Raw genomic sequence first — 15,488 nt, 5'->3', positions numbered from 1 at the left:
TGCAGGATGTGGGCAAACTCACACTGCCCTGCCACCAAAAGGTTTGCTGAGGGACATCACTCCCTGGCACCCGGCTCCTTGAAGTTATCTACTGAGAAATCTAGCACCTATTATCCAAAGGATGCAGTCTTGCCTGCTGTGAACCAAATTGCTGACTGACAATTACCCAACAATCACACCCCCCACCCCGATCTCTTTTGCCTAATAAATATGGAGGGCTGTGTAAATCTCAGGGCCCTTGTGCACTAGAGGCAAGGTGCCCCCCGACCCCTTCTTACAAATATACTCTTGTCTCTTGCCTTTGATTCCTGTGTTCGCCCCCCTTTGTTCAGTCCACCAGGTCTGTACAGGTTACAAGTCCCAAATTTTTGAATGGTTGTAAAATGTGTTTAAATGATTTGTCCATGTCTGTATAAGCAGATTTTTATTGATGGTGACTATTAAGAATTTGAAAATGTAATTAAAAAGTCTTGATAAGGAGCTGTGTGTAGCCCTTTCAAGCATAAAATCCAATTTTTAAACAGATATAAGCTCAAGTTTCTCATTAAAGGTTTTCAACAATTCTTTTTTGCAAATTTTACATGTATTTAGTATCTAAATTTCCTTCTAAACTTTGTGCTGTATTACCTTGCATATGAAAACTGTTTCAAATTTTCCCCAGGCTCCATATGAAAGCACTTGAATCCCTCCAGTTTATCTCAGTGCCTTAGACTGGATCTTCTAGAAACAGAGAATTCCAGGTAGAAGGTTTATTGGAGAATGCCCTCAGGAAATATACCTAAAGGAAGTGAAGATGGAGGCAAGACTGGACAGAGGGAGAAGCTGACTCACATTGCAGTTACAAGTGAGGCCTCAGCTTATCCTACTTGGAGCCCTAGAGCTGAATGAACTTCTAGAGTTGTTTTAAATTGAGGTGAGGGACTGAGCCTGTGTATTTATTCCCCATCAGCCATTCATTATGCTTGCTGGCAGAGGGCATAACCTTGAGTGAGGCACACTATGAAATGTCAGAAGCCTATTTCCGCAACAGCTTGGAGATGGGTAAGTCAGCCCTGGGCAGAACACCACAGAATCTGCAGCACGGACTGCTCAGGAAGTGCTGCCGAGTTACCATAGGAATTGAATCAACATTCACGGGGATTGTTTACATTGGCCTGCTTTTTCTGAAATACTCTGTACCTCCTGAGTATTGTTTGACGTTGTGGGTAACAACACTATATATTTTCATAGCACCTATTATTCCATAATATTATAACTTAATTTGTATGCTGTCACATGTTTTGTGACTGTTATGATGTAAAAATGTGAGGGGATGTTGACAGTGTAATTAATTATTTTATCACCAGCACCTAGATCACACTGACTGGCATATAGTAGCACTCAATAAGTGTCTACTAAGTGAGTGATAAAATGAATGAATGAATGCACTATTTTTCTTTTTTCTTATTTTTTTTCTTTAAGCTGTGCTTCTCAGCATCTTATTCTGCAATAAAATGTGTTTGAATGGAAATGCCACAAAGCCAATCTCAATAACTCCCTTGGACCTCAAAGGAGTTCACAGATTCGTGAAAGATCATCTGATGAGGTGTCCTGTCCAGGAATTTACTGTTCACATTTTATGGAAAATTATTTCCTTAATTTTAACCTAAAATTGCCTTAAATTTTTTAAAGTGCTTTTTAAAATTACTAGTCATCTTTTAGAATAGAGTTGTCAGTTCTACAGAAAATGAAGTTCCCCATATATGTACATTTTTCAATGTACTGTACTCTTTTCAACAGTAATTGTTACCTACTAGAGTAAATTTAGAACTAAGGAACATAGACTCGTATATATTTTCCACCTCTTATCTCTTTCAGGATGTTGTCTTACTCTGATAATTATCTGATTCTCTTAGTAGAGTTATAAATTTCCCTTCTGAGTCTTGATAACTTATCTGAAAACTCTGTAGCACAATATATATCTTCTGAGTGGACTTTTTGCTAACAATCTGTTCAGAAATTATTCCATCTACTTCTGCCGTGTCACTAGGGATAAATGGCCACAGCAGTGTTTTTCTTCTGGGTTTTAATCAGATTATCAGAGCTAGCTTCTTTCTTGGGTTTTAAAATATGTTTTAATTTTTCCACTTATCTCTCCTAATCATCTGATTGGTTATTACTTTCAGATCTTTTTGTTTCTTTCATAGTCCATAATACATGCTGAGCTATGGGACTTGTGACACATTTTTTGAATAATTTTTAAATAATGTAGCTTTTAGACATTCCCAGTGTGGAAAACATATTTCTTCAAATTAACTGAAGATATTTTTGTTGGCAGTTGAATTACTTTTTCTTCTTAATTTTTCTTTAAGCCTTAATCTTCTTGGCTGTACATCTAAAATCATCACTTATGTATAATTCTCCTTGGCTTCCTTCAATACAATTAATGATCTTTCATATGTACTCCTTTGGTTGCTATTATTTTCAGGGCCTTTTGTTTCAAAAATAATCAGCCACATTGCCACTGTTGAAACAGTTTAATTTAGTCAAAGGTCCAGATAGTGGAGGACCATTTATAAGACTCCTTTACAGGACTCTTGGTGTTTTAATGGTGGTCTGTCTATAAGTATATGAATAGAGTTCTTAGAAGGAGCAGCTAGGTTTGTCTCTGTCCTGATTATAGTTATATCTTCCCTTTAGTGTCTGGGAGCTCTTCTGTAATTTTTACATTGGACAATGGTAGTTTGCTTACTTCCAAGTGTTAGGGAGAGTTTTCATTCTTAAAACTTGCCCAGTAATCATACTACATAATAATTATTAACATTTATTACTACTACATTTTAAGCATCATTCCTACTTTGTAAATCATTCCATTATTTCCTTTAGTCTTTTTTACATTCCTTACAAAACATTATTACTATCAATTTTACAAATGAGAAAACCAAAATTAGCTTGATTAAGCAATTGTCCATCATGAAACCACCAGTACATAAGGGAACTGGGCTTTCAAATCTTAGCTTATCTGTGATATTTCACTATCTCATATACAGGTCCTTTCTTGAAATGACAACTTCCTTCCTCCATTTAATCTCTTAAACCATAATTACATTGGTCTTGTAATTCTTATAACTCTGTTTAAATCTGTGAATAAGAAAATGAAGCACAGTAGTTACTGGAATTTGCTAGTAACTTTAACCAGCGCAAATCTTTTCTACGATGTGAGTGTGATTTCGTGGGGGCGGGGTAGGAAGTGGTTTGGCAGAGAACATTCTAGGGTAGAATGCTTTTTGAGAAATGTTCCTACATTACTTTTTCATATTCAAAGCAAATTTCCCAAGGTAAATAAATTGTTTATTCTTGAGGCTGAGATTACTGCAGTTTACTAATGTAAATTAACTTTTCAGTTAAACATCTTATGTTGTCTCTGCATGAGTTATCGATTCTTTATTGCTACCACTATCACCACCCTGCTTTAAAAAAATTCTGTATTCAATGTCCAAACTTGCATCTATTCAAGAGTGACTTCCCCAGTGTCTTCCAAATAAAGAGATTAAGTTAACTTTTATTCATTCACAGTGCCCTGTGCGAAAAAAAAAAAAAAATCTGTAAGTTCTGCTCTCAATACTCAATATTTTTGATAAAACAATGACTTCTTTGAAGCTTAAGATAAACATTAACTACAAGACTGATACAGTTTGTATATTTGTCCCACCCAGATCTCATGTTTTCACCCCAATGTTGGAGGTGAGGCCTGGTAGGAGGTGACTGAATCATAGGAACAGATTTCTCATGAAATAGTTTAACACCTTCTTCTTGGTACTGTCCTAGTGAGAGTGAGTGAGTTCTCACAAGATGTGGTCGCTTAAAAGTGTGTGGTACATTCCCCCTCTCTTTTTTGCTCTGTTCTCATCCTACATGTGCTTGACCCCGCTTCACCTTCTGCCATGAGTAAAAGCTCCCTGAGGCCACCCCAGAAGCAGATGCCGCTATGCTTCCTGTACAGCCTGCAGAACTGTGAACCAATTAAACCTCTTTTCTTATAAGTTACCCAGTCTCAGGTATTTCTTTATAAAAATACAAGAATGGCCTAAGACAAAGGCAGAGTAAATAAATCAAATGAAATGAAACAGAAAAGAAAGAGCGTTGAGAATTTTGATTGGGAGTAAGGACTTATTAGATTTACCTGGAAAATTAAACAAATGAGAATTGCAAATCATGTTCAAAAGTGAATTATGTTATCAGATAATCAACATTTATTTTAACATTATAAAATTAACACAATGTGGTGGTGGCTTAAGAATCTAGGGAAAGATAAGGGATAGCTCTGGAACCAATGTTAGAATCTTAATATAAGATTTAAAATATCATAAATCCATAGGAAAGGATGTATTATTTCTAACGTTGTGTTTGGAAAATTATTTATTTTGAAAAAAGCCCAATTATCAGTTTGTGTTACATTCAAAATATATAGAAACTTGATGGAAAGTTTAAAGTAACAACTGAAACTATGAAATGCATATGAATATGTACTGTATGCAGTTGGGAGACTTTCTAAGCATAAGATCATTGTAATACATCATGAAGATGATAGATTTGCCTACTACATAAAAATTTAAAATTTTCATATATCAAACCCATTAATACTTTCTACACTATTTAAAAGTTTATTTCCTTTTACATATAAGTAATATAAATCATTAAGCAAAATGACCAAATTTATGAATAAATATTTTATGGAAGTTATATAAATAACTAATGAGCATATGGAAAAAATCCCACTTGTGATTAATTAGTTAAATTCAAATAAAGGAATACCAGCAGGTCATAATAACCTATAAATTGGCAGCAAGAAAAATATATAGACTGTTGCCATTTCAAATATATAGTCCTCACAAGGTGGTAAGTAAGATATCTGGCAAAAAAATTAGGTTTTATGTATTTGCCAAAGAATAGTGAAAACAGGAGGAAGTAAGTACTTCTGGTTTATATAATTATTGAATCTAAATCTCCACTATTTCTTTGGATGGAACAAGGGCAATTTCAAGACAGTTGAGTCCCATTTGGGACACAGAGACCCTGTATTCAAAATATGAAATATGAAACTTTGGAATATAGGTGGCAACTATTTACAGATACTATGTACATTTTATATATATATATATACATACACATATATGTATATATACACACATATATACATATTATATATTTATATATACACGTATAAAATAGATAATTGATAAATCTAAAAGTAATGACTGCTTTTTTAAGATTCATTAATGCCTATGAGTGCTAATATTTCACAAAATAATGCAAAGGTTAAATGTATAGTGTTGGTCAAAACTGACATAGTAAATATCTTTATTATTAGAATAAAATTATTATACTTGAACTCATGCATTATTTTTCTTTGCAATTATCATATAAACATAATCCTACCTCATGAATTTAGTTTTTCTTTTTTAGCTTCTTTTCACATTTTGTTTGAGCCACAGAAATACGAAATGAACACTATGCATATATGTTTTAATTTATTATTTTCCCAGGTCATATTTTCACTAGAATCTTTTGTTCCAAGTCATTTAATGAATTTCATAAGGATGAGTCTGTTCAAAATGAGATGTCTTGGATTATAAACATAGTGTGCTTGTGCTTGGGGAAAAAAAGAAAAAGAAGAAAGAGAGAAATATTTTTCAAAAAAACAGATGAGTAAGTTAGCATAGCCAAAGGGCAGCAACATCTGATGTGGTGACAGGCTTTGCAAGCTTCATGTATTAATGCAGTTTCCATAGCAGCCACTACCTCACATGATAGTTCAAAATAATTTGTAATTGCCAAGAACTTTTAAAGGGAAACACACCCAACTCTGATATATTTTCAAAAATCAACTAAATGTTTCTGAATCTAGATCCTTGACACAGGTTGAACAATGAAATTTTATAGAGGACACAACCTCTAAATCTGTACTTCCTCATTTATAAAATAGGGGTAAAAACACATGCCATGCCTGCCTCACAGGATCAGTGAGTGATGTATGTCAGCATGCTTTGGAAAGTGAAAAATGCCGTACAAATGCAGAGTATGATTAACTTACAGAATCATCCACTATTATAACCAGAAGAAATGTTAGAGACCGCCAGGTCTCAGCCTGTCATTTCACAAATGAAGCAAAATTCATTAAACTTGTCCACAGGACCACGTCAGGAGAGTGGCAAGGTCATTATGAGAGCTTGGGTCATGTACCTGTATGTCTAGTCCCCTTTGTCCCCTTTCTATTTTTTTTTTTTTTTTTTTTTTTAAGACACAGTCTCGCTCTGTCACCCAGGCTGGAGTGCAGTGGTGTGATCTTGGCTCACTGCAACCTCCGCCTCCCAGGTTCAAGAGATTCTCCTGCTTCAGCCTCCTGAGTAGCTGAGACTACAGTCGGGTGCCACCATGCCCGGCTAATTTTTTGTATTTTTTTAGTAGAGACGGGGTTTCACCGTGTTAGCCAGGATGGTCTTGATCTCCTGACCTTGTGATCTGCCCGCCTCGGCCTCCCAAAGTGCTGGGATTACAGGTGTGAGCCACTGTGCCCAGCCCCTTTGTCTCCTTTCTATGCCTGCAGTCAGTTACTGTTCTGTGAGATCCACCACACCCTTTCCTCTGATCCACCACAATAGTACCCTGATTGCTCCAGTCTTCAGAGGTCACAGAAATGCACCGATCAGACTCTCTACCAGTGGGCCACATAGAACTTCAAGTTCATCTTTTTCACAGCTGTGAGTCTTACTATTAATCCCACATTGAGTCCCAAGCATACTCTTCTTCTAAGCTCTCTCAGGCTTTTCAGTGTTTGAGAAAAATCTCTGATATAACTAGAATTTTTAATAGGAATCTCAAGAGTCTAAAAGTGTCTAGGCATTATGTAAATCAAATATGGGAGAAAATCTGTCTTCTGAAAGAATTATTATCTGAGTACTCTTAATTGAAATAATGTCACATTAATAGTCAATTTTAAATGTATATGGTATATTTGGGGAGGCTCTTTACTGTACAGATCTAACTTAATCATCAAATAAAGGTCTCTTCAAGGAGGTGGTGTTATCCCCATTTTGCTGATGAAAAGAACTGATTTTCAGAGATACTAATTAACCTTTCTATTGTGACATTAATATTGGAGCCACAATTTGGAGTTAGGTTTTGTTTTTGCTCTTTTTAATTAGCTGTTTTTTCCGTTATTCAATGATGTCTACACGTCAGAAAGTGACTTTGATCAGTCCTGATTACAGGTCTAGTGTCATGTGTGTACGTGGACTAGAATGGAAGAATCCTGACACAGAGATTGAATTCTTAGAGATACTCCTGAGACCCATTGGAACTTGGCTTCTCTGCCCATTTCAGCTGACTTGAGTTGCTAACTTCAGTTCCTGTCTTCATCTTCTCTCCTAAATTTGACTCAGTTGCTTAACTCTTGGCTGTAACACTGATTCCTGGTGGCCATCTTGTTTTGATTCTACCAGCCCCATGGACAGACCTCACCTAGTCTGTCCAGATCTGGTTGAATAAATGCCACTAAATCCCTGCCTCCAACAGCTCACCCTTGATCAAGCATTGTCTAATCCTAGTTAATAAATTCACCAAGAATAGAAGAGCCACTATAGATTTTCTGTTATTTTTTTGTTTTTCTGGAGCCACCACGACTTTTGAGGGAGAGACACCTATTACGTCTCTTTTTCTAGGGTTCTTTACTCATAGGATGATTTAACAATAGGGTAAACTCAGAAAGCTATCTGGATCACCTGGAGCAAGCCCTTTGCTGACTGTGAAGCAGCCTAGGGGATGATTAGGAGGGACACAGAAATGCAAAAGTGAAGAGCTGAATGCAGAGGCTAGTTGATTTACATGTCGTATGTATCAGTTAAAAGACCACTATCTTTTTACTTGTTCACGTTTGTTCTTCCCTCTAGTATGTAAACTCCAGAAAGAAGTGATCTATTTCATCACTAAGGTATACCTATTACCTAGCACTGCCTAGCTTTGAGGCAATGTTCGATGATATATATTCTGAATGAATAAACAAATAAATACTGCAAGAAAATATATGAAAGATAATTAAAAGTAGACTTGCTGGTTTAGAAATACAACTTTAGTTAATTACATTCAGTTTCTGCTTCTTTATATGATGCCACCTGTCTCTTCTTATCCCTGCCCATTTGGAATTAATTTTACTTGTTTGTTGAAAAGAAAATAAAAGAGAATTGGGATTTCTGATTTAAGGAAGAGAGCCTGCTAAAGATAGGGTTCAAATGAAATAAGAACACCAGACATCTCAAATTATTGGCTTGTCCATGGCACAAAACTAGCAAATGAATCTATTTAACAGTAATAGTTTCAATTTAGGCAGAACATTTGAAAACCAATAAATGTCTACAGTTCCAGGCAGTAATATGGCTTTACAATAATTTATTTTAATTTCTAATTTGTTTAAATTAGAAATTGAGAGAAATTATTTCAATGTCTTTTTGTTCTTGGTAAAGTGAACTAAAATTAAAATGAGTACATCAACACTACTAGGTATGACAAAGTTTAGAAATTTAATAAAGTTAGTGGTTCACAACTGTAATCCCAGCACCGTGGGAGGCCCAGGTGGGTGGATCACATGAGGTCAGGAGTTCGAGACCAGGGTGACCAATATGGTGAAACCCCATCTATACTAAAAATACAAAAATTAGCCAGGTGTGGTGGTGTGCACCTGTAGTCCCAGCTACTCGGGAGACTGAGACAGGAGAATTGCTTGAACCCAGGAGGCAGAGGTTGCGGTGGGCCAAGATCAGGCCACTGTACTCCAGCCTGGGAGACAGAGCGAGACTCCATCTCAAAAAAAAAAAAAAAATGTAATAAAGTTGAAAATAACTTAAACAGCAGCAAAGGACATCTGAAGACATTCACCCACCTCCTGATATGAATGCTGCTAAGTCAGACTTTGTAAGATCTTTGGATGGGAGATGCTGCAAGATTTCTAGGTTATTAACTCTAGATTATTAATTACAGTATCTGGAGCCTGTCTAGAAGATAGATAGATAGAAAGATAGATAGATATTAATCCATTCCTGTTGCAAAATAAGAACGGTTTGCTCTGTTTTATACTTAAAAAGCAAACAAAGAATTGGATACCACTCTATGTAACTATTCATATGCTAATGTTTTACGCATGGTAGAAATCAATAGTGATTTATCCTCACAAGCATTTTAATTTCTTGCAATTTATGAAACTTCTAATAGTAGGTAATACTCTGATATTTATAGAATATAGTACAAATATTGGCATCACTAAACTATAAAATATTATGATGACCTTGTCTACTTTGTAAATTACTTTTTCATTATATGTCTGCATCCACAAACTACTACCACCTCCCCACCTTACCTCCCCCATAATCTATCCATTCTTTTACCACTGTTACCAACCCTTGTCAGGAAGATCTTGAACTAGACTACCTCTTATAAGAAGTATTAGTACTTAAATTTTAGAAATGGAAACATCTTCTCGAGATCATCAACCTCATCATTTTATATGTAATGTTTCTGGGTCCTAGAAGACATCAGATCACCCAGCTGGTTTTGTGGAAAAGTTGTGACAACTAGTTCTCAATCTAATTCTTTTTTATTCTAATTTTTAAATTAATTACACTCATACGAATCAGTTTTTAATTTGTTCACTCTTGTTGTTAGCATTTTCTCTTTCTACGAAGAATATATCAAGAATACCAATGTTGAACAAAGTTCACAAGTAAATCATACTGTGTCTAGTTAGCCTGATGCCATCTTGCCCAAAAGTATAATCACTGAAAGAAATCACATCAACCCTGTCAATCAATAAAGACAGGAATAGTTATTTAAATAAGCTTGGCATGTCTTGGCAAATCACTCAAATGTTATGAATACATCCAAGAATGCTTTGGCACAGAGAGCAGGATTTAAATCCTCAGCCATTTCAGAGTACATTGCAAACAGTAATCATCTGATATTCAAATTTCTTGAACTTTAAATAGTCTTATCTAATGCTGTTGCCTGGACTCCATTCTTCACGCTATCAAACTACATTCTTCAGACAATAACATATCCCAAGGGTGAAATAGATGCTTGTCAGTCTCTGAACCTCATAAGTGTTCATTAAATGTTGATAATTGACTAAACCATTAAACAGGAAGAGTAGTGGTAAAGGGGTATGAGCCCTGGAGTTGACCTGAATCCTGTCTCCCTTTTACTAGCTCTATAAATTGGACAAGTAATTTTTTGATCTTTAGTTTCTTTATCTTTAAAACAGAGCTAATTATACCACAGAGGACTGTTGCAAGGATTAAATGAGATACTGCAGGCAAAGTGCTTCGCTAACACCTGGCACAGAGGGAGTGCTCAATAGATGTTAGCTATTGTACTTAATTTATTTATTTTTTTCATAGATGTGAAATGAACTGCAGATTCTGAGCGCAGTTTTACAAGCACAACTTGAGTCTGAGTTCTAGCTACTGCCCAGTTGTGTGACCTTGGCCAAGTAAGTTAACATTCCTGTTTCTGTTTCCCCATATTGAAAATAATCTTGTATACCTTATGGTGTGTTGTGAGGTTTAGATGAGTCAGTATGTATAAAGCGCTAAGAACAGTAATTGACCTAAACATAGCATATTGTAAACATTTGTTATTATTCTGGATCCTATGTATAAAAGAAGTAGTCAGAAATATTCCATTCCACAGACTTACTTGAATGAGAAATAAGAAGTTTTGACAGCCATTTGTAGTATTCTTTGAATCAAAATATTTTATAATCTTCCTGTACCCATTAGCTATGATTCTCTTTGACAGGAAATGTTATGATATGAGAATATCTATAAATCACACATTTTTTTCAAAGTGGACAGTTGAATTACTGTTTTGGCTTTTCCAGCACTGTGTTAGATTAATGGAATCCTCACCGAAGTCCTCCGTCGATTTGTGAGTTTGTAAGTAGAAGAGAATTAATTAAATAACGAAAGAGTACAGATGTCAAAATTTGTATTGTATAAGCAACAGTTCTGCTAGGTAGAATGTATCAGGCATCTTGCTTAACAAATCCTTACAACAAAGGTTAAGATACTCCGGGCCACTAAAAGCAACAGGGAGCTGTTGATGCAATGCAGATTGGAATAAGAATGAGAAAAGAAAACAACATCCCTCAGAAGTCTAGTTTTCACCTTTCCCTTAACCTTCTCTGCCAGGATACCTTGATTTTTTTTTGTTTTTTAGGCTGTATCAGATAAAATGTACATGTGTGTATAGGTGTGTGTACAAGGAACAAATTATTTTAAAAATATCTAAAAGGAAAGTTTAAAAGGAAAAGATATAGCCCTGCTCTTTTTGTTGACAAAAAGATTTTTTTTCTTCTCTTTGTTTTCCCATTTGCCTACGTGCAGTTTGTTATAATATTAAAATTAAAGTGTATATACAACGATGTATCACGGTTTTTATTCTTAAAATATCAAATTTTTATATAATGTAATTTGACAAATACCAATAATGCCATCCCTTGCCTTTGTGTAAAGCATGGCTCTTTTCGGTTATTTTATGAATTTTCTGATGTAACTATTTCTGAAAGGGAGGGGAGGTACTTATTTAAATATATTGAGTCCCTAACACCTTGGAGATTATTCAAACTTTTTCTTCAGGAATGACAGGGAAGCTGAGACCTTATGTTCACACTGTATTACAGGCAGGCAAGAGAGAAAAAAATTGAAAGAAAGAAAACAAGACCAGTAATAAGGGAATAGGAATTATAAATATTTTCTACTGTCATTGCTGCCCAGTCTGTCTTACCCAAAATATTTTCCTCCTAGTCCAAAGTAATAGGAACTTTACTTTGTCTTTCAAAGTAGAGGTAAAACATGCTCATTGTTTAGAGTAACTAGTAATTAGTTACACAGTCTATACCCATCCTGCTCCACTGCCTGTGTGTTTCTCTGCCACATAGTGACTTAACATTAGGGTTGCCTCTATTCATAACATTTTTTTTTCTAGAGCAGTGTAGTAAAAGAATCATTACATCTATGGTGAATCAAGAAACTATAACTATCTATAACTCTATCTATCTATCTATATTATTTCTACAAGCTACTATTCTAAGAAAAGAGAATCTGTCATGAAATACTAAGCCCCATTTGGCGACACAGTGTTACCTGTGGACAATGATGAATTAGTGCTAATGGGAATGTGGGCATGAGTTTAATTCTCTTGAGGATTCCTTTTATTCCGTAGTTGTTCTAACCTTGCCTGGGTGGTCAGCTTTCTAAAAGAAAATAAGCATCACAGGTTCTTTCATACTTCCATAATAAGTGGATAGTTACTAGACCTAGGCTCTCAAAGATCTCAGGATGAATGGGACTCAAGGCATCCTTTTGGGATATCCAGAGCTGCCCAGCCCAGAAACAGGGAAAGCTTCTCAGAAGTAAGAACATCTCAGCTGCCATCTGAAAGACACCCTCCAGGTCAGCTTATCATTGGATCTGGAGTGTGACTACCTTCGGGAACACACAGGTCTGTTGCTTCTTCTCAACAGGGAAGTCATAGTAGAATTTGTGCAGGCTCTGTGGAAACAGCAACTTCTGCTACTTTCTTTGAGTCAAAGGGTCCACAGCACTTTGATCTTCTCCAAGGACTTTTCAAGGCATCTTTTCCCTTTCTCTTTCTTGACATAAGTTTTAGAAGTTTTTGTAGTATACAGATAGTTCTTCTTCTCCTTGCAAGGTAAGACCCATGGGCTCTTTCCAGCAGGAAGAAGAGATCAGAGGCTCTACTGGAGGAGATCATCAAATATCAAGATATTCTGAGAATGACCAGGTAGTGACTTTCTCCTGCAGATAGCATTTACTCTCCAACAGCTTGGAATATTGACGTACCTTCTGGGAGTCAGTGTAGTGCAGGAAGCACAAAAGCCCTCTTTCTTCATCACTGTATAGAGCTCTACATCTTTAACGCCCAATTTTCCTACATCATGGTATAATAATCTCCCCTGTTCTTTATTGGGAGATGTGAGGAAACTTACATTTTGCTGGATGAAGAATTTAAAATTGATAATGAAAGTAAAAGTATACATGAGGTCAAATACTAACAGTAATAAATTACATCAAAGGAAATAGTTATTATTTACAGACAGGCATATTCTGTAAGGAGTTTTCTCTATGGAGAAATAATTTTACCAAACTTGTATATCCATTCTTTTATGAGTAAAGGGAGTAGCGATTAAAATTGAGAGAAGCCTCAAAGAATGCAAAACTATAGCCACAGGTTGTCAAGTAATTATCATTGAATATTTTATGCTGTGTGATCCAGATGCAGCCAAATATTCCAGTATAGGTATGTGTGCGTGCACACATGCTCATGAATAGAACGAGACATGCACACACTCTGATCAGCTCCTTGAGACAACCTGTGACAGAGCCTGACCCAAGATAAACTGAGTGAAGTTAGTAATTATCTCCTACTACATATGTTTCCAGGGCAGTCTTTAAACCATTTGTAGATTAGATACTATTTACTGTGGCTATCCCACTCTTAAAGACATAGAACAAGTGATATGCTAACCTGGAATATGTGCCCATAGACTCCAAATTGTCTATCATTTAACTCTGTTTATTATAGCTAAAATGATTTGGAGAAATAACTGAGATCTCTAAACTTTCACTCCCCAAGTTGGCCGTGGCCTTAGATGAAAAGGAAAATGGCTATGTATTGAAAGATAAGACCGTGACACGAAAGGTTTAAAATGTCCATCTGACCTATTTATACTATTCTGTATTAGTTAGAGTTCTTCAGAGAAACTGAACATAATATGTATATACAAAGGGAGAGAGAGAGAGGTTTATATAGATACTTATTAGAAGGATTGTCTTATGCAATTATGGAGGCTGAGAAGTCCCATGGTCTACTCCCTACAAGCTGGAAAACTAGGGAAACTGGTGGCATAATTCAGTCCTAGTCAAAAGACTAGGACTACCCTACCTGAGAACTAGGGTAGCTAATGCTAATGGTGTAAGTCCTGGTTGAGTCCTAAAGCCCTAAAACCAGGAGCACCAATGCCCAAGGGCAGGAGAACATGAATGTCCTAGCTCAAATAGAGAAAATGAATTAACCTATCCTATACCATTTTGTTCTATTTTAGTTCTCAATAGATTGGATGATGCCCACCCACGTTGGTAGGGACAATCTTCCATATTCAGTCTACTGATATAAATGCTAATCTCTTTTGGAAGCATCCTCACAGATATATCCCAAAATGATGTTTTGTCAGCTATCTAGGAATCCCTTAGCCCAATCAAGTTGAGACATTATCACCGCACTTTGCAAATCATACAAAGTAGGTACAGCAGAAGATCCCAGCCCCAGGATATATTCAAACAAAATCGACGAGAAATAAATAAACAGTTTAATTAAGTGGTTTAAAAAAAGTAATCTTGAACACAGGGTGTGGTGGGTAGACACATAATGGAAACTTGTCAAAAATTTTATTTCTGCAAGAAAAAAGTTAAATTAATAATTTAGAGTTAAAAAATTTAAAAGACAAATTGATAAATAGACTTTTAAATTAAATGTATTTTAATTTCAGAACTGAATATGACAGTTCCAGTCTCTTCAGATAATTTACATCAGCCAATGTCCAAAGAAGTGAAATAACTTATTCAAGATAACACTGCAGGTATAGCTAAATCTTAAACTCATCCTTTTGGACTTCTTGTCAGTGTCCTTTCCATTACCTTCTAGTAACAATAAAAAAACAGCAGTGTATTATGACTTGTGGAAAGTATCTTATGAAGTCTTGGGTGCAGTAAACCTGTAATACATTTTCATATTTGTCTATCTTGGGGACTGGATCCAATTACTAACCAGTATGTGCTTTCCTATGCCTCCAAAATGTCTTGTTAGAAGACAATACACTTTCAAACATGATATTATCACCAGACAATAACAAAGGCCTAAGTAGCTTTTTCTCACCAAGATTTTGCAACAGATGTGACTAAGTGACTAATGTAAACATGCATAAAACTCTCCAGCAGAAAATGGTAATATGTAATTTTCTAGTGAATGTTTCATGAAGAGGGAATATGAAAAATTAAAAAGATAATTAGGATAGACATTGAAGAAAGATGGTTTGATATAAACATTGTATTTATATCTTTGTGATGTACTGTTTTCATATTTCTGTATAATATGATTGATAACAGTAAAGTAACATCGCAGTCCATAGTGAATACAGAATACCCCCTAATGAAAATTTGTTCTGTTTAAACTAGATTGGTTTCAGTCATATATCTAATTTATTCTGTTTTATGGCATGGGGAAAGGGCTAGAGCTGTGCTACTAGTGTTTGGTTCTATAACTGGGCAGCAATTTTTTCAAATAACTAAAGATTTTTATTTCTTATTAAAGAATTAAATGAGAGCTATATTTAAAACATGTAGTTTTATGTTTTATTTTTTAGAATAGGTTTATGTTACATT

General features: G+C 35.4%; 1 long non-coding RNA gene across 1 annotated transcript; it reads left to right on the top strand.

Annotated features, from left to right (window-relative positions):
• Positions 1-931: 931 nt before the first annotated feature.
• Positions 932-11,130, top strand: LOC107986744 (uncharacterized). The gene is made up of 3 exons (XR_001745026.2): positions 932-1,041; positions 10,425-10,516; positions 10,907-11,130. It is a non-coding gene; the product is annotated as an uncharacterized LOC107986744 (long non-coding RNA).
• The last annotated feature ends 4,358 nt before the right edge of the window (positions 11,131-15,488 follow it).

This window comes from Homo sapiens, chromosome 7 (genome assembly GCF_000001405.40).
Source record: "Homo sapiens chromosome 7, GRCh38.p14 Primary Assembly".
In the NCBI taxonomy this organism is placed as follows: Eukaryota; Metazoa; Chordata; class Mammalia; order Primates; family Hominidae; genus Homo; species Homo sapiens.
This window is presented reverse-complemented; position numbering and strand designations above follow the sequence as displayed.